Genomic DNA, 21,042 nt, shown 5'->3' with positions numbered 1-21,042 from the left:
TTGACCCTGGTATTATGGTATTAAATGAATAATTTAGTCTTTCAGTGTGAATTTGTTAAAATGGCATCAGGGGAAACCATTGAGGACAGAAGAAAAGAGGATTCACAGTAAGAAGAATTAGTAGTTGAAAGGGGTCAGGACATGTTTTTCAAGATCTTAGTGAGTGATACAAAGTGTTCTGATACTGGTAAATGGATATACTGAAACTTCATGGGCATAATCATTATTTTATATATTTTTAACAGAAAGTGGTGTTTTAAAGTTCATCTTTATGTTTCAAATTCTTTATTTTAAATCTTCTTCCAGTTATCACCACATGATAATCTGATTCTCAGTCAGCCTGTGTCTTCACCTCTTCCACTAAGGCAAGTAAAACCTCATTTCTATTTATTTTTCTCTCAATCTAGCATAACATTCAAATATTTTATTTTTCCTAGCTAAAATTTCAAATATTGATGGAAATACTTCTCATTTAACTACTACTTCTCTAAATTCCTTTTACTTAATGTTTGGGTTGCAGTTATTAATGAAAAAAGGAAACTTTTCTAATAGTGTTTTGTATTTTGTGTATCTATTATCATCAAATACCTACTATTGTGTAAGTGTGTGTGTGTGTGTATTTATGTATGTAGATGATGAGAACAGTTATTTTTAGCTTTAATTAACCTCTGAAGAACATTCAAATGCAATTAATTTTTTCTTTTTAAAATGCAATTAATTTTAAATTTTACCCAAAAGAAAAAAAATAGTTCTAATTATTAAATTGTAGAATAGGACAATGTATTTTCTTACCTTAGAAGTTCAGAGAAATCATTAAGTATGTTTTCTCTACAGTATCCTTTCTTGAAATTTGATTAGCTGTGTAATTTTTTCATCAGAGAAATGGTTACAGTCTGATTAAGTTATATAGGAGATACCTAAGGGAGACTAGCTGCCATCTTTGACATTAATTTTGTAAGAATTGCAGATTATTTCATCACTAGCTCTCAGCCCAGAGTGACAAATGTTTTCTTAACCTTTGTTTGAGCTGAAAATAAACTAGAAACAATGAGTGAGACTATGTATGTCACTCTAAATTACATAAAGGACTTTTTTAGGTAACAGCTTTATTGAGATATAATTCACATATCATGTAATTCACCCAATTAAAGTGTATGATTCAATAATTATATTCACAGAGTTCTGCAGCTATCACTGTAATAAATTTTAGAACATTTTCGTCACCCTAAAAAGAAACTCTTTACCCTTCGGCAGTTAACCTCCTTAATTCCTCCCATCTCTAACATACTCATACCCCTCTGCAGCCCTAGTCAACCACTAATCTACATTCTGTCTCTATAGATCTGTCTATACTGTACATTTCATATAAATGGAATCATACAATATGTAGTCTGGCTTCTTTGACTTAGATTAATGTTTTCAAGGTCTATCTATGTTGCCTCATGTATCAGTACTTCTTTTTATTGCCAAATAATATTTCATTGTATGGATATACGTTTTATGTATCTGTTTATCAGTTGATAGACATTTGGGATAGTTCCACATTTTGGCTACTATGAACTTACCCCGATTTTTTTGTGGACATATGTTTTCATTTCACCAAGAGGCTTTTGTTATTAGTTTTGCTTTATTTAAAAGATTATTCCAGTGAAACTAGTTGTTTAGCATTATATAAACAAAATACTTGCTGGCTTACTGAACTATTTATTTACTTTGTCAGTTCAGTATTTTGTTACTATATAGAAGGCCTAAGTTTATTGTTTTCATTATTAACTTGCTTTGTATGTGTATCTTATCATCTTGTACCTCTTGATTTCCTATTACTATTATCATTACAGTAGTAAAGATTATTCACAAAATTAAGTTTTAATGTGTATTTACCTTAAGGGAAGTGGGCCTGTAAGTCATATGGTTTTTCTGATAATTACAGTGGAAGATAGGCCATGTTCAAAAACTTCCATTTAAGGATTTGCTTTCAATCAAAGCATCCCTTTTATAAATTGCATTCTTTATTTGGACATTATATGACAGATGTTTTTATATGAAATGAAGCAGATGACTTTTCATTTTCCATATTGAATACAGTACAAAAGAATGATTTTGGAATCTCCTAAAACTGCATTGTTTTCATAGTGTGTTTGTGATGCAGTGTTTTCCCTGCATCATAGCAGCAATCATGTTTAACGGTGAATATATAATACAAATTGTACCCTAATCAACATATATAATACAAATCCTACTCTAATCAACTACTTTTGCCCATTGTTTTAGATAATGAGGTGTTTGGATCATTATTTTTTAATTATATATTTTTGTTTGGATTGACAGTGGTGGCAAGTTTTCAACACTACTGCAGAATTTAGGCCCTGAAAATGCTGTGACACTACTGGTGTTTGCAGTAACAGAACATAAAATTCTTATCCATTCCCTACGGCCATCCGTGCTTACTAGTGTGACAGAAGCATTAGTGTCTGTGAGTATCACAGTTTCTTATTGGCAGTCAATTTAGTTTAAACTTAGTTTATTTATATAACTTAAAGCCATTTTAATATAACTTAACTAAAATTCAGAGAGTAATGAATTTGTGTTTTTTGAAAGCAGTTTTGATTTCCTGACCATTAACTCTAGTTATAATTATTTCATTCATTATCAGGCATTAGGCTTTAGATAATACTTAAAAGACAGTTTTTTGTGTGTGCTGATAAATTATGCTTCAGTGTTAAAAAGCTAAATTCTCTCCTATCTTTTGTTTATCCAAGATGATTTTCCCTTTCCACTGGCCATGCCCGTATGTTCCTCTCTGCCCACTGGCTTTAGCAGATGTCTTGAGTGCACCATGTCCATTCATAGTAGGGATTGATTCAAGATACTTTGATCTCTATGATCCTCCACCAGATGTCAGTTGTGTTGATGTAGATACCAACACTATTTCTCAGTAAGTACATTTTAGTGATTCTACATGTATATTTTACAACTTTGTAGCATATGTATGTAACTGTATATTTTATGATTGTTAAGTAGGATTCTTTTAAGATATATTGTTTTCCTTGTTATGTGGGGTAATCACCGTCTTTGAATCAGACCTTATTATGCGTCAATGGAGTAGATTTAGAGTATTAAAGAAGGTTTTGTTGGAAGGACTATACCTTTCATCCTCAGGCTTTCAATATTTAAGAAACATTTTAATGTTAGGCTTGCTTAGAAATTTAGCCAAAGGGGGCCGGGCGCGGTGGCTCATGCCTGTAATCCTAGCACTTTGGGAGGCCAAGGTGGTCGGATCACCTGAGGTCAGGAGTTTGAGACCAGCCTGACCAACAAGGAGAAACTCCATCTCTACTAAAAATAAAAATACAAAATTAGCTGAGCGTGGTGGCGCATGCCTGGAATCCCAGCTACTCGGGAGGCTGAAGCAGGAGAATTGCTTCAACCCGGGAGGTGGAGGTTGTGGTGAGCTGAGATCGCGCCACTGCACTCCAGCCTGGGCAACAACAGTGAAACTCTGTCTCAAAAAAAAAAAAAGAAAAAGAAAAAAAGAAAAAGAAATTTAGCCAAAGGGAAATTGAGGTTAGAAATAGAAAAAGTTTATTTCCCTTTAATGATATGAGTATAGGTGAAATCACAAATTGAATTAAAACACCATTCTTTGATTAATATTTCAATCCTATTTCTAGTCTTTTATAATACTATTAGAATACTTAAATATAGACTGGGCGTGGTGGCTGACGCCTATAATCCCAGCACTTTGGGAAGCCAAGGTGGACGGATCACTTGAGGTCAGGAGTTCGAGACCAGCCTGGCCAACATGGTAAAACCCTGTCTCTACTAAAAATTCAAAAATTAGCTGGACGTGGTGGCAGGTAATCCCAGCTACTCCAGAGACTGAGGCAGGAGAATCGCTTGAACCCGGGAGGCGGAGGCTGCAGTGAGCCGAGATTGCACCACTGCTTTCCAGCCTGGGTAACGGAGGGAGACTCTGTCTCAAAAGAAAAAAACAAAAAAAAACAAACAAAAAAAACTCATCATAGTAAAATAATGCTTTAAAATTTTAAAATAAGTTTTAAATTATACATAATTTCATTATCTTTACACCCTAGGGATGCAAGGGTTTTATGTTTTCATTTCTTTGCACTGAATTTATATGTAAGTTATAGCTATCGGAACTATTTTTAAAGCCTTTTTATAATTCTGTATTGTTTTGTGTCCCTTATTTTAAATTTAATCATACTTAATCTATTCAGGGAAGAGGAAATTGATGCACTGTCCACATTGCACCCACAGGACATGTTTATAATAACTATGATTTAGTCTAATAAAGCCCAAAAGCTGGTACAGCTTTTACACTTAAATATGTAAATGTGAAGTAGGTTTTTCTCCTTTTTTAAAAAGAGACAGGGTCTTACTCTGTCACTCAGGCTGGAGTGCAGTAGCATGATCATAGCTCACTGCCAAATTTCTGGGATCAAGCAATCCTCCTGCCTCAGCCTCCCAGGTAGCTAGGACTACAGGTGTGTACCACCATGCCTGGCTAAATTTTTTTTTTTTTTTTTTTTTTTTGAGACGGAGTCTCGCTTTGTCACCCAGGCTGGAGTGCAGTGATGCGATCTCAGCTCAATGTAAGCTCCGCCTCCTGGGTTCACACCATTCTCCTGCCTCAGCCTCCCAAGTAGCTGGGACTACAGGTACCCGCCACCATGCCTGGTTAATTTTTTTGTATTTTTAGTAGAGACGGGGTTTCACCATGTTAGCCAGGATGGTCTTGATCTCCTGACCTCGTGATCCGCCTGCCTCAGCCTCCCAAAGTGCTGAGATTATAGGTGTGAGCCACCGCGCCCGGTCATGCCTGGCTAATTTTTTAAAATGAGAAGGGGTCTTGCAGTGTTGTCCCGGCTGGTTTGGAACTCCTGACCTCATGTGATCCTCCCCCCTTGGCATCTCAAAGCATTGGGATTACAGGCATGAGCCACCACACCCAGTTTTTCTCCATTTTTAAGTAAGAGCTTTTTATCTTAAAGCTTTTTTTGAAAAAAATTTTTTACTTTTTATTCTTTTGAGACAATGTCTCGTTCTGTTGCCCAGGCTGGAGTGCGCAGTGGTGTAATCTCAGCTCACTGCAACCTCTTCCTTCCAGGTTCAAGCAATTCTCCTGCCTCAGCCTCCCAAGTAGCTGGGACTACAGGTGTGTGCCACCACACCTGGATAATTTTTGTATTTTTAGTAGAGAGGGGTTTTCACCGTGTTGGCCAGGCTGGTCTCGAACTCCTGGCCTCAGGTGATCTGCCTGCCTCGGCCTCCCAAAGGGCTGAGACAGCCTAAAGCTTTTCGATTTAATTATGAAACCTTAGATTAGTTCTCAGTCTTGTCACATGTCACAACCTCAAGTGCCTAAACCATTAGAAAAGTTTAGCAGAAAATGAGTATTCTGTTATAAAGCATGCATACTGTCAAAATTTTTATTCATGGAAAGCCTAACCAAGAAAATATGAAATATATTTTATGCATAAAAGCCATTTTACATACGGCATCAATAGATTCAATGATTCTTTACCATCAACATTTCATTCTTTACCAGAACTGTTTAATACTTTTAAACATTAAAGTAATACAACTTTTCCTTGCCAGGTTAATGTTACGTGATGTAATATTTTTTAATTGAAATTAACAGTGGTAAGAGTGTATACTGTGTTTATTATGGTAATAAATTGTATTTTCCACCTTACAATGTCTCTTAATTTGTTAAAAGAATTTTCTCAGCTAGGTGTCTTGACTCATACCTGTAATCTCCACACTTTGGGAGGCTGAGGCAGGAGGATCACTTGAGGCCAGAAGAGACCCCATTTATACAAAAAATTTAAAAATTAGAAAAAGAATTTTGTCTTCCTACTTACTATTTTTTCTTTCTTTCTTGAAGTTGCTGAGGTCTGAGCTCTTTTCTTTCTGCTTTGATCACTAATGAGTTAAAGAATCAAAGAAAGATAAGTTGTTTGTGCTCATGAATTCTTGCCATTACCACCCTCCCAAACCGGTGGAGGACTAGACTAGCGAACTGACAGCTTTCTACTTTCCTTCAATTAGAATTTCTGAAGCCCCAGCCTGAAGTTTGAAAGAAAAACAAATCCCAAGTATGGAATTTTTGGTTTCTTTTCCCCTTCCCTGTCTTAAGTATATATGATACAGACTATTTTTAAATATGAAGAAATTTCTGAAGAAAGGGAAAGAAATTAATATGTATGTACCAAGTGTAAAGCTACATGTGTAGCCTAAGTTATCTCATGTTATTCTCCATACTTTGTGAGGTGGTTCTTTTTTTTATTTTTTTTATTTTTATTTTTTGAGACAGAGTCTCACTCTGTTGCCCAGGCTGGAGTGTGGTGGCGTGATCTCAGCTCACTGCAAGCTCCACCTCCCAGGTTCTTGCCATTCTCCTGCCTCAGCCTCCCGAGTAGCTGGGACCACAGGTGCCCGCCACCATACCTGGCTAATTTTTTGAATTTTTTAGTAGAGACGGGGTTTCACCGCATTAGCCAGGATGGTCTCCATCTCCTGACCTCATGATCTGCCCGCCTCGGCCTCCCAAAGTGCTGGGATTACAGGCGTGAGCCACCGCGCCCAGCCGAGGTAGTTCTTATTAACCCTTCTGACAAGGAAACCAAAGCTTAGATTTTTAAGCGATTTATCAAAGGGCATATAGCTTATGTTGTCAGAACTGCATTTTAAAGCCATTACTGTTTGACTCCAAAACTAATGCTTCTACCACTAATTATTGGGTAACTATATAATATGTGTATGTCATAAAATAATGTAGTAATCTTGTAAGTGGAAGTCATCATGAGTAAATATACATTTACTCATAAGATGATCTTTTTTATAAGAAGATGATCATAGACCAAACTCAAGTACTTCAAAAAATTCCCTTACCCAGCCAAGTTTTAGAGGGAAGATATCAAAGGAAAGAGGCAGAAATTATAGCAGTAAGTAACAGTAATTAGATGTGATCAGATGATACCAAGATGTTGTTCATTCATTTACGCCACAAACATATCCCGAGTGCCCTTTTTTTGCTAGGCACTGGGAATAAAATAGCAAACCACATATTCTTCTTTCTCTTAAGACACTCATAATTAAGTCTAGCAAGACAGGCACTATGCAGTGAATGGTAAGACACAGTGGGAAAGCTGTGTTACTGAGTTTCATCAAGAAAATAATTTTAAAAAGTGTTTCTATGTTGCGTTCTTACTATAACACAGGATCCTGTTGGTCACATTGTAAATGTAATCACACCTTCACAGCAGGACATCTGCAGTTTGACTTTGCCCTATCTTTATTTTTATTCTCATTTGTGGAAAGATAGAGGGGACAAATTCCAAGACAGTCATTTTTGTTCAGCTTAAGCTTTCTTATCCCACTCTTTTTTCTTTGTTTACTTTTCAAAGTGATATTTGCCCTTTTTTGTTCTGTAGGAAGTTTAGGGAATATAAAAAGGTTCAGCAAGTTCCACTACACACCTGTGCTATGTTGTTCTGTGGTGGTTAAAATATGAGTGTTTTACTTTTCTTTTCTTTTTCTATACATTTTTCAAGTTTTCTAAAATGAATATTCATTGCTTTTGAAATAAAAAAAAAAAAAAACGATTCAAAAAAAAGTAGAGTCAGCTGGTCACAGTGCCTTTTGCCTGTAATCCTAACACTTTGAGAGGCAGAGGCCAGGAGGATTCCTTAAGATGTGGAGTTCAAGACCAGCCTGGGCAACGAAGCAAGACCTCATCTCTACAAAATAAAAATTAGCAGGCTGTAGGGGTGCGCGCCTGTAGTCTCAGCTGCTTGGGAGGCTGAGGCCTGCTTGGGAGGACCACTTGAGCCTGGGAGTTAAGACTGCAGTGAGCCGTGATCATGCCACTGCACTCCACCCTTGGTGACAGAGTGAGACGTTGTCTCTCTGGTTTTTTTTTTTAAAGTGGAGTCATTAAAGCTATCTTTAAGTCCAAATGCTTTGCAATGCTTTATCACCATGCTCTTTTCTACTCCTACCCCATGTATGGTTTAGAGACCAACTGTGTTGTAATTGCTATAATAAAGGAGATTATAGGAGCCTGTCCCAGAAACAAAGATACAATAGTTCCTCCTTTACCCACAGTCTGGTTTTCCATGGTTTCAGTTATCTGTGGCCAACTATAGTCTGAAAGTACATGAGTACAGTACAATAAGTTATTTTGAGAGAGAGAGCCCACGTTCACATAACGTTTATTAAAGTATATTGTTATAATTCTATTTTATTATAAATTATTGTTATCGATCCCTTACTGTGCCTAATTTATAAATTGAACTTTATCATAGGTATATATGCTTGGGAAAAAACATAGTAAATATGGGGTTCTGAACTGTCTGTGATTTCAGGCATCCACTGGGGGTCTCGGAATGTATCCTCTACAGATAAGGGGGAAACTGCTTTATCATTTTTAACGGATATCCTCTTTTATAGTTATATAAGTATTTCACAATATTATGCTTTATTCAAGTAATTTAGTATAATAGGTTATTTCTTTTTTGAAAGAAACAAAAATGATCCTTACTTATACTCTTAGGAAACTAAGAAACTAAGTATTTAAATATACCGAAGTATTTTGATAAGCTCTGTGGATCATGAATTTACTGAAAGTTTTTGTAGTGCTTTTTCTTACAGTATTTAAGAAAAAAACTTATGGTAGGATTTTTCTATTATTTAGGTGTCTAAGCACACTTAAATGGAGATTAAGAGTAAAGATCACCACATTAAGCTTTATGGTGATTAGCAAGATTCCAAAGCAACTGGAATTTACTCAGTATAAATATAAACTTGTGAACTATATTTAATACAAGGTTCTACCCTCATACAAATTAATTTTTGTATATTCAACATGCCAATTTACCCCTGTAGGATTTTTCTCTTGTTAATGCAAATATTTTGTTTTTCATTTTTCATTCAAGGTGTTTAATCTTTTCCCGTTTTTATATATAACAGATATATACCTTTCCCCTCCAAAAGACCATGTAACAAATATATTCCTGTTGTTATTTAATCTTAGAATTGGTGACAAGAAAAATGTAGCCTGGAAGATACTTCCAAAGAAGCCATGTAAAAATCTGATGAACACACTGAATAATTTGCATCAGCAATTGGCAAAATGTAAGTGGATAACTTAATTAAAGGAGGTAATTTAATCTGAAAAAGGGACTCCAATTACTTTGCCTTACTTATAAAAGAATAATGTTTATCTAGCAGAAAGCGGTTTTACCATTTTAAAGGCAGATGATCATTAAAGCAAAATTTGTTAGAAGATGAATGAGAGATTTATAAAATGTGTATTTTTTTTTTTTTCGAGACGGAGTCTCGCTCTGTTGCCAGGCTGGAATGCAAAATATGTATATTATATCTACCAAATTTTTATAGAACCATCTTAAAATAATAAAATTCAAAAGGATGTTAAGGTGGTTTATTTTACCGTTACTGAAATACCATGGAAAAAATGTGGGGTTCCACCTTTATATTGTTTTTTTTTTCTCTTTTGAGACACGGTCTTGCTTTGTCACCCAGGTTATAGTGTGTGGCACAAACATGGCCCACTACAGCCTTGACCTCCTGGGCTCAAGTAGTCTTCCCACTTCAGCCTCTTGAGTAGCTGGGACTACAGACACAATGAGGCACTACGCCTGGCTAATTTTTTAATTTGTTACAGAGACAGGGTCTTACCATGTTGTCCTGGGCTCAAGCAGTTCTCCCTCTTCGACTTCTCAAAGTGCTGGGATTACGGGCATGAGCCACCATGCCTGGCCTATTTTTTTCATACACAGAATAGAAAGTTAGTTTTGAAAATCGAAGACAAATGATGTAAACTACATTAGAAAATGCTGATGGTATCAGTGGGGTAAGAGCTTTTCACCTTCAGTGGATCTTAATGCTGTGCTTATCTTTTAAAAATGTTTTTTATTTTTCTGTGTGCCTATCTTAAAGTTTGAAAATCGAAGTTTGCCAATAGCATTAAGAAATTAATCAAAATGAAAATTGATTAGGATATGGAATATTTCTATTTAAAAAGCTTATATGAGAATATATCTTGACTTGTCCAGAATTACTGATAAGGAAAATTAAACCTTCATTTCTTTATCTAATCTTGTTGGTATTATAGCAGATGACCCATTCAGAATCCATAACTTAATACTTATTATATAAAGTACAGTCAATAGTGGTATAGCAGTATTTGACTCCTTAAGATGTAGCTGTAGTCTCAACTGCTTGGGAGGCTGAGGCAGGAGGACCACGCGGGAGGACCACTTGAGCCTGGGAGTTAAGACTGCAGTGAGCCGTGATCATGCCACTGCACTCCATCCTTGGTGACAGAGTGAGACGTCGTCTTTCTCTTTCTTTTTTTTTTTTTTTTTTAAGTGGAGTCATTAAAGCTATCTTTAAGTCCAAATGCCTCGCAATGCTTTATCACCATGCTCTTTTCTACTGTTAAGGAAAATTAAACCTTCATTTCTTTATCTGATCTTCTTGGTATTATAGCAGATGACCCATTTATGTAATACACATTTATGTTTAGGTACAACATAAGCATAGGAGGTAGCCTACACCCTTGAGGATTCATCATAGTGTATAGTGTAGTTGGAAATAGACATGGATAAAAACAGTATTTACAAAGTACACTTCATAACAAGTAGATGATTCCAAAGTAGCTCATAAGTATTGGGATATTAAACAAATTACATAAAACGTAACAAAATTTTGCCTTATGGAACAAATAAATCATGCATGTAATATCATTTGTTACCTAGTTAATTGCTTTCTAAAAGTGTTTGCACTTCTTTTGAATAGCTAAGAAGCCCAACAGCTATTGTAGCAATATTCAAATATTATTAACATTGGCTGGGCAGGGTGGCTCAGGCCTGTAATCCCAGCACTTTGGGAGGCTGAGGCAGGGAGATCGCTTGAGTCCAGCAGTTTGAGACCATCCTGGGCAACATGCTGAAACCTTGTCTCTGCAAAAAGTACAAATATATATATATATATATATATATATATATATATAATCAATGAAACAGCCCATTCAACTTTTGTGAAAGGCAGAATCTCAAAGGTTAAAACTACAAACATTTAAATAATACTGATAATTAAGGACTCTAACGCTTTATAGCTTCAGAGCACATTCACATACATTCTTTTACGTTACAGCTATGAGAATGAGATTGAAGGAGGCGTATAGTAGCTTCTCACAGATCATACAGTTAACAAGGATGAAGCTGGGATTAAAACCTAGGCTTTCTTGACTGGGCGTAGTGGCTCATACCTGTAATCCCAGCACTTTGGGAGGCCGAGGCAGGTGGATCACCTGAGGTCAGGAGTTCGAGACCAGCCTGGCCGACATAGTAAAACCCCGTCTCTACTAAAAATACAAAAATTACCCGGATGTGGTGGTGCACGCTTGTTGTCCCAGCTACTTGGGAGGCTGAGGCTGGAGAATAGCTTGAACCTGGGAGGCAAAGGTTGCAGTGAACCAAGATTGTGCCACTGCACTCCAGCCTGGGAGACAGAGTGAGACTCCATCTCAAAAAAAAAAAAAAAATCCTAGGCTTTCTGGTTCCAATGCCTTACGTTCTTCCAGTATTTTCACTTTTTTAGACAATAAGAACTCCTCCAAAAACTCTCGAAGACGATTAATTGTTCCTTATATTTTAAAATTTTGAAGTAATAACAAACTTTTTTCCTGACCCTTTGACATTAGATGCTTCATGACATTTGAATAGAATGTATTTCCTACCCAGTACATTCTTTGACATCACTACAATGTAACCATAAAAATCAGAAAATTAACATTGAGAATTACTGCTGTCCTAATCCTCAGACCACATTCAGGTTTTGCCAGTTATCATCTTAATGTTCTTTATAACAAAAGGATCCAGTTCCAAATCAGGTGTTGTATGTAGTTTCAAGTCTCTTTATTTGCCTTTCCTTCTGAACAGTTCCTCAGATTCTCTGCCATCTTTGAAGATTATACTTACCATTGTAGAATTGTCCATGGTGTGGGTTTGTCTGAGCATTCTCATAATAAATACAGGCCACCCATCTATTTTCTTTTTTTTGAGACAGGGTGTCTCACTGTGTCACCCAGGCTGGAGTGCAGTGGCGCGATCACGGTTTATGGCAGCCACAAGCTCCCAGGCTCAAGTGATCCTCCCATCTCAGCCTCCTGAGAAGCTGGGACTACAGACACAAGCTATCACACCCAGCTAATTAAAAAAAAAAAAAATTCTGTAGAGATGGGATCTCACTATATTGCCATGCTGGTCTTGAACTTCTGGGCTCAAGTGATCCTCCCACTGCAGCCTCCTAAAGTGCTAGGATTACAGATGTGAGCCACTGCACCCGGCCCAGGTCACACATCTTTGACAGGAATATCACAGAAGTGATGCTGTGTCTCTCTCATTGCGTCCTTATATCAGATCGCACACTATTTTGCTTTGTCCCATTATTGATGAAGATATTCACTTCGATCACTTGATTAAGGTGGTGTCTACTAGACTTCTCTACTATAAAATTACATGTTTACTATCTAATGGCTTTAGCATTGAATTGTCCAGGAAGAAGAATTGTTTTTTATATTTTAATCCTTGTGTGTTCTTCCTGCAGGTACTTATATTAAAAAAAAAAAAAAGGGAAAGAAGAACTGTTGCATTTGCCCTGCACTCAGTTTGCACAGGGTAAATGCAATAGTTCTTCTTTCCCTTTTTTTAAAAGTCTGTTTTCAATATGTAAGACAAAAACATGAATGAATACAAGAGGGAATGTCACTGCCACTTTGAAAAAGACATATATATGTATTATATAAAATATGTATGTTTTATATATATTCATATGGAAAGAGTGTGAGAGCAAGTATGTGCACATAACATGCAAAGTGGCTGGGCATGGTGCCTCATGCCTATAATCCCAGCACTTTGGGAGGCCAAGGTAGGCGGATCACCTGAGGTCAGGAGTTCGAGACTAGCCTCGCCAACACGGTGAAACCCCGTCTCTACTAAAAATACAAAAATTAGCTGGGCGTGGTGATGGGCACCTGTAATCCCAGCTACCAAGGAGGCTGAGGCAGGAGAATCTCTGGAGCCCGGGAGGTAGGGGCTGCAGTAAGCTGAGATCGTGCCACTGTACTCCAGCCTGGGTGACAGACCAAGACTCTGTCTCAAAAAACCAAAAAAAAAAAAAAAAAAAAAAAAAAAAAGGAAAAAAAACATGCAAAACTTTTGAGGGAAAGGGGGGCAGTTTTTGAAATATTTTCAAATGTACTAGTTTATGTATAATCTCACCATAATCACTTGATGGTGAGAGAACAATGGAGACAATTCTGTATGAAGATTTGAGAGATCTGGGTTTATGTTCCTTTTTTATTATTCTCCTTATTCGTATGTCAGGTCATTTCCCCTCTCAGGGCATGTGCAAAATAGTAGTGGTGTGGGAGGTATAGATGACATGGTTGTTCAGATTCTTTCTGAACAATGCCAATACTTGGTGAGCCTATGAGTGATATATATTTATGTTGAACAGCTTTCTTATATTCTATTGCCTTCTCGGTTACAATCATTATTAACTTATATATAGTTATTTTAGAACATGAACTTAAAAAAAATTTTGTAAAGACAGAATCTCTCTTATGTTGCCCAGGCTAGTCTTGAACTCCTAGCCTCAAGTGATCCTCCTGCCTTGGTCTAGGATTGCACGCATGAGCTACCATGACCGACCTGAGCTTTTTTTTTCCTGGTGGTAGTGAGATAAACGGGTAGCTTTGTGTTTAATTTGGATAAAATTTACTCAACGGAGACTACAAAATGCTATGGCAAGCTTTGCTAAGGTTTACGTATGATTAAGTTATGTAAACAAAGAGTTGAGGTAGCTTGGGTCCTTTTGAAAATACAACAAAATTATATTGGTACCATCATGAGTGTTTTGTGAGTTTGGAGAAAACACTAACACTGTATGTCTTCACAGTGCAGCAGAGACCGAGAGATGATGGACTCATGGATTTAGCAATAAATGACTATGATTTTAATTCTGGAAAGAGGTTGCACATGATAGATTTGGAAATCCAAGAGGCATTTTTGTTTTTCATGGCCTCTATTTTAAAAGGTTACAGATCATACTTAAGGCCAATAACACAAGCCCCATCTGAGACAGCCACAGATGCAGCCTCTCTCTTTGCCCTACAAGGTGAGTGACTGCATAGTTTTAAAGCTTTCAGGTTATTGAGCTTAACTTTGTGATGATTCATTTGCTGTCTGTATTAATAGCTCATATTTATGAGAATACATACCTATTTTGAGGAGAATCTGAATACTAGCTTTGTTGGTTACCCATTTCCATAGGACTAGTTATTTTTCAGGCATATTAGATATAATCCCATTAGCAGATATGCAGAAGAAAAGTATAGAGCCTCCCAACCATATACCGACTACACTTTTGTGTCACATGTGTGTTGAGATACTGATACTTTCAGCTTTCAGAGCAGCAGGCAGTGTTGGGGATAAGAGGAACCCCTGAGATGGTCACCTCCAGGCTTGAATAACCTCATTTGTTTTATTTCAGTATACTTTACAAATATTTTCAAATATTATGTACTTTACAAATATTTACAAATATTTCCTATCTGTGCCATGAAGTAAAAAAAGTTGGGAAGTTCTGGAGTGCAACCGGTTTTATAATACATATTTACTTTCTTTTGTAGTATTTAACATTTGAAAGAGAAATCCATTTAATAAGTATATATTGAGTACCTCCGAATGCTAGGCATTGGATATATAGTGGTATGCAAAAGAGACATGGCCAAAAAAAAAAGTAAAAGATGAGAGACATGGTTATTTCTCTCAGAGAGCTTATAATCAAGAGGATAGGCAATTGGAAATAAAGAGTGAACAACTTCAGTTCACAACCTCATATCACGGAAGGCTTTTCTGAAGAAGTAACATCTGATCCATGATCTGAAAGATGAGTAGAAATTAGCCAGACAATGCAAATCGAAACCACAATGAGATACCATCTCACGCCAGTTAGAATGGCAATCATTAAAAAGTCAGGAAACAACAGGTGCTGGAGAGGATGTGGAGAAATAGGAACACTTTTACACTGTTGGTGGGACTGTAAACTAGTTCAACCATTGTGGAAGTCAGTGTGGCGATTCCTCAGGGATCTAGAACTGGAAATACCATTTGACCCAGCCATCCCATTACTGGGTATATACCCAAAGGACTATAAATCATGCTGCTATAAAGACACATGCACACGTATGTTTATTGCGGCACTATTCACAATAACAAAGACTTGGAACCAACCCAAATGTCCAACAATGATAGACTGGATTAAGAAAATGTGGCACGTATATACCATGGAGTACCATGCAGCCATAAAAAATGATGAGTTCATGTCCTTTGTAGGGACATGGATGAAATTGCAAATCATCATTCTCAGTAAACTGTTGCAAGGACAAAAAACCAAACACCGCATGTTCTCACTCATAGGTGGGAATTGAACAATGAGAACACATGGACACAGGAAGGGGAACATCACACTCTGGGGACTGTTGTGGGGTGGGGGGAGGGGGGAGGGATAGCATTAGGAGATATACCTAATGTTAAATGATGAGTTAATGGGTGCAGCACACCAACATGGCACATGTATACATATGTAACAAACCTGCACATTGTGCACATGTACCCTAAAACTTAAAGTATAATAATAATAAAAGAAAAATAAAAGAAAAAAAAAAGAAAGAAATTAGCCAGACAAAGGTAAAGTAGGAGAGTGTTTTACGCAGAGAGAACAGTTTACACAGTCCCTGAGACTGGAAAGAGCTTGAATTCCTGGGCCTGAAAGAAGGCCCAAGTGCAGTGTAACTGAGCATAATTAGTAAGGTGAATCAGGAAATAAACCTTTTCTCTGTTTTCAATAAGTAAGACACAAACATGAATGAATACGAGGGAATGTTACTGCTGCTTTGAGAAAGCCATTTATATATATATGATATATATATTTATATGGAGAGAGTGTGAGAGCAAGTATGTGCACATAATATGCAAAGCTTTTAGGGGAAAAGAGAGCAATTTTCAAATATACTAGTTTATAATCTTTAAGATGGTGAGAGAACAGTGGAGACAGTTCTGGATGAAGATTTGAGAGATCTGGGTTTATGTTCCTTTATTACTATTCTCCTATTTCTTTGTCAGGTCATTTTCCCTCTCAGCACTTGCGAAATGGTAGTGGTGTGGGAGGTATAGATGACATGGTTGTTCAGATTCTTTCTAGTGCAAATATTCTGTGAATCTATGAATGATATTATGTATTCTGACATTATATATTTTTGTTGAACAGCTTTCTTAAGAAGCCGGGACCGGTCACATCAAAAATTCTATAACATGATGACCAAAACACAAATGTTTATTCGCTTCATTGAAGAATGTTCTTTTGTTAGTGACAAAGATGCAAGCCTGGCATTTTTTGATGATTGTGTAGATAAAGTAAGTAACAGTACATCTACAATGCCCTAACTTATTTTGTGTGACTGTTATAAATGTTATGAGTTATAGTTTCTATGTACAGCTTTTAATGAAATTGAAATTAATTTCATTTTCATCGTTGACCACTTAAATGAAAGTTTTGGTAGCCTGCTAGAAATTATAGAATGCACCTCTTACAATTACCTTGTAGAATTTTACTACAAGGTAATTGTAATCATAAGTTTTATTGTAGCAATCAAGTCCTAACCCTCCCTGTCCACTTACAAAACCAGGAATTTTTTGCCAGCCTGTGCACCTCCAACTTGAACGTCTGTGATTTTCACCTCTCCTTTTTGTCTGATATGGGTTATCACATGCTGAAAGTAGGTGTGAAAGTATAATAAATGTTTTACCTGAATATTTCTACAATTGCGAATGAGTTCGTAGCTTAAATTAATTAGTTCTGTAATTTTAAATTTATGTATGAAACCTTTCCCTTCAGTCCTAATATCATTAGGTAGGACAGAGCAAGGCAGGTATTCATGCTGGAGAGAGAGGAGGTAGTAGGATGGTAGTCCAGAGAGGGGTTTCAAAACCTAAATAGGGTGGAGAGAGAGGAACAGCCTAGCTGGAATGTCAGAGCCCAAGCCAGGTAAGGAGAGTATTCCTGGAGAGGCATGGTCTAACATGGAGAATCAGAGGACAGGCAGTTTAAAGAGGGTATCCATGTTCAGGGGCAGACTGCTACAGGGTGTCAGAACCTAAACAGGATGAGAAGAGCATTCATACAAAGGTGAGCACAACATGCAGTGTCAGAGTCTGAGCAGGGTGAGGAGAGTGTCCTCATGGGGATAGCAAGGGAAGCAAATGAGATGTCAGAATTTCATATAGATGAGAGAGGTGCCAGCATGGTGGGGCAGGATTTGGTCTGGAGGGGGTTGTCAAAACCACATTAAGGTGAAGAAGTCATCTGTGTGGGAGAGGGGTGGTGGTGAAGATGGGAGAATGTTACATATGGGGGAGATTGATCAAATAAGTATATTAAAGATAATAAAGTTTTTGGGTTTTTTTTTTGTTTTTTTTTTTGAGACGGAGTCTCGCTCTGTCACCCAGGCTGGAGTGCAGTGGCGCGATCCTGGCTCACTGCAAGCTCCGCCTCCCAGGTTCACACCATTCTCCTGCCTCAGCCTCCCGAGTAGCTGGGACTACAGGCACCCGCCACCATGCCCGGCTATTTTTTTGTATTTTTTTAGTAGAGATGGGGTTTCACTGTGTTAGCCAGGATGGTCTTGATCTCCTGACCTCGTGATCTGCCCGCCTCGGCCTCCCAAAGTGCTGGGATTACAGACATAAGCCACTGCACCCGGCCAAAGATAATAAAGTTTCTTATTGAGAGAAGAGATTTACAAATACAGAAGTGAAGAAAACTAAAATGAACCCCATAGTGTTGGAATAGAATTGGAGATTTGCTGTATATCATTGGTTTTCAATGATAGATACAGAAATAAATGTAGATGTAAGTATATGTGTCTGTGTGTATATATACATATATTCCCTACCTCTGTACATTGAGAGGACCTGGATGCAGCCACACCCCAAAAGCAATGAGCACACCTAATGTATAGATTTTGACTTCTAAATACCATTCTCCACTAAAAGAATCAGGACTCAGAGAAATGGCCAGCCCCAGGTTTAGGGCAAGGACATTATTAGGCGATAAGCCCAAAAGTATCTTGTGCTAGAAAACCAAGAATTGCTCTAAGAATGATGAGACATGTTACAACAAAATACACACACAGAAGTCAATTTGAAGGGATTTCCACAGGCAAATCTAGGACAATTTGAGCATCAAATGTTAGTAACAGATTAGCCCATTGAGTAAAATAAGAAACCATGAGTGTACACAGATATCAATCAACTGAAAGTCATCTGAGAAGCAGGATCTTACATAGTTATTAAGGACCTTCCCACAAAATGCATATTAATGACAAAAGGGAAAAGAGTAACTTTATAGTGGAAAAGCCTGGCAAATGCCGTTTTAATCAAGTTATCAAAATGAACATCATCTGTAACGGGACAAGTCAACATTGTGTTCCTCTAATAGGTTACAATGAGAATGCAACATCAATTCTGTAATATTCCTGCAAAAATGTATGACCTATATAATCTCAAGGAAATACCAAACACATATTAAATGATATTCTACAAAATACTTATTCTGTAATCTAGAAAGTATTAAGGTTAAGAAAATAAAGTAAAAATGGAGAAGAAACTTGTCTAAAGTGAAGTAAGAAGACTTGACAACCAAATGCAGTGCTTAGTTAAGAACTAGATCCTTTTGGCATAACATTATTAGGTTAATCGACAAAACTTGAATGTGGTTTGAGGAGTATGTAGTAGTAATGTATTAGTGTGTTGATTTCCAGTAATAATGTATCAATGTTAATTCCCAGATGATTGTATTTCTGTAGGAGAATGTCTTTGTAGGAAGTATAAAAGTATTCAGGGGTGATGATGGGTCATCAGCTCAGCAGCTTACTCTCAAAGATTAAGGGAAGAAGTTACTTATACTGTGCTTAAATTTTCCTGTAAATTTGTATTTAAATAGGTATATAGTATCCATGATGTTATGGCCATGATAATAGAAAAAAGGAAGAAATAAAAGCTTTATTATATATGATCACAACAATTTGTAACGTTAAGATTATTTAAAGAAGTCCATCACTTTCAAATTTATGTGACTGTGAAAGAAAATCAGTGAGTTTTTTTTTTAACACAACAGCCAAAATACAACTCATCCCTTGATATTCATAAATTGGTTCAGTTCTTAGTTTAACATAAAATTGGCCTTACTGATTGTTAAATATGTACCAAATGTGTCATATAAAAATGAGAAGTGATTCTCACTATGAATAGGAAAATAGTGTACTAGGAAAAACATACTACATTGGGAATCAGAAGTACTTTAATCTTGACTATTATACTTGTGACTTTAGTCATTTAGTCTTTATATGTTGTTTTCTTATGTATGTTTTTAAAATGTTTTGAGGAGAAATAATTATAGCTGCCTATCATAGCGTTCAGAGTAGTGTTGTATAAACTAAAAAGAAAATATTATGACTGTTTTTGCCTTTAACTGGGTTTTATTCACGTTTATAGATTAATGGTTCATTTGGTTTATCATTTCATAACAGAAATGTTCAATTTTTGAATGATTTGTACATATGAACAGGAACACATTCAGAGCCTTGTAGACATCTACCTTTTCCTTCAATTTAGAACACTTGAGGGATGATTGATACAGAGAAATACTCTTTCTGGTGCTGTTAGGGAATTAACAAATCAAAGTATCCAGAAATATCATCCCTAGTTCTTTCTTGAAAATGCTTTGGAATAGGGAAAAGATGGATACATGCCATTACCTGCTTAAAATTCTCAATTCATTTTCCCATAGAAACACTGTTATAAATGGTGATTAGCCATACTTCAAATGGTAGCAGTGTTTTGCTATAAATACGTGTTAAATTTTTATAAGTTGGGCATGGTGGTGTGCACCTTTAATCCCTAGAGCAATTACTACCAGCTACTCAAGAGTCTGAGCGGGGAGCCCAGGAGTTGGAGTCTAGCCTGGGCAACGTAGTGAGACCCTGTCTCTAAACAAAAACCAACAACAACGAAGTATTAATTTTGTGTGTGTGTGGAATAATATGCTAACCACTTTTTAAGACATTTTTAAAAATCAAATTTATTGAGATATACAAACAGTAGATACACCATTGATGTACAAAGTTTAATGAGTTTTGACAAATATGTATTTCCATGTAACCATGAGTTCCAAATATTTTCATCACCCCAGAAAGTAGATTGTTTTGGGGGAAGATTTATTTTCTACATTTTGAATAACCTACTTACAAACAGACTTGTGGAACCCTGCATTTTGTATGTTGAGTTCTGGTCTATAAAGCTTTGAAAACCTGGTTTTTTTTCTTTATTATTTTTTATTTTTGAGGCAGGGCCTCTCTCTGTCACCCAGGCTGGAGTGCTGTGGCACGATCTCAGCTTACTGCAGACTCGACCTCCTGGGCCCAAGTGATTTCTCACCTCAGTCTCCTGAGTAGCTGGGACCACAGGCATATGCCATCATGCCTGGCTAATTTTTTGTTGAGACAGGGTTTCCTTGTGTTGCCCAGGTTGGTCTTGAACTCCTGGACTTAAGTGATCCTCTTGTAGTAGTCTTCCGAAGTGCTGGGTTTATAGGAGTGGCCCCTGCTCGTGGTGAAAACCTGTTTATTTTGAAGAGATAATGTCATAGCTCTTTGACAGTTTTGTCTTCATTTGAGTATTATACCAAGAACTTGTTTTTCAATATTTTAAGCAAAGTTTTGTGTTTGCCTTATTTGGCACTTCTGTTAGGCCCTTCTTGTGTTGCCGTAAAGAAATACCTGCATCTGGAGAACTAATAAAAAAAAGAGGTTTAATTTGCCCCTAGTTCTACTGGCTTTATAGAAAGCGAGGTGCTGGCATCTGCTTCTGG

The 21,042-nt window shown here is 36.8% G+C and overlaps 1 protein-coding gene and 1 non-coding gene across 29 annotated transcripts in view; both read left to right on the top strand.

The window, feature by feature from the left end:
* The window catches only part of DENND4A (DENN domain containing 4A), a 133,171-nt gene that overhangs the window by 60,287 nt on the left and 51,842 nt on the right, over window positions 1-21,042 (top strand). For 27 of the 28 annotated variants that reach the window (NM_001376920.1, XM_047432100.1, XM_047432097.1 and 24 more), the window contains 6 exons: window positions 307-365; window positions 2,329-2,473; window positions 2,760-2,935; window positions 9,059-9,159; window positions 14,011-14,229; window positions 16,384-16,529. In NM_001376920.1, coding sequence (NP_001363849.1) covers window positions 307-365; window positions 2,329-2,473; window positions 2,760-2,935; window positions 9,059-9,159; window positions 14,011-14,229; window positions 16,384-16,529 — 846 coding nt within the window. Of the gene's footprint in view, window positions 1-306; window positions 366-2,328; window positions 2,474-2,759; window positions 2,936-5,906; window positions 6,120-9,058; window positions 9,160-14,010; window positions 14,230-16,383; window positions 16,530-21,042 lie in introns of those variants that run through there. The other variant, XM_047432105.1, reaches the window with a different exon arrangement.
* On the top strand, window positions 12,675-12,761 carry MIR4511 (microRNA 4511). The gene has a single exon (NR_039736.1). It is a non-coding gene; the product is annotated as a microRNA 4511 (primary transcript).

This window comes from Homo sapiens, chromosome 15, assembly GCF_000001405.40.
Source record: "Homo sapiens chromosome 15, GRCh38.p14 Primary Assembly".
Lineage (NCBI taxonomy): Eukaryota > Metazoa > Chordata > Mammalia > Primates > Hominidae > Homo > Homo sapiens.
This window is presented reverse-complemented; position numbering and strand designations above follow the sequence as displayed.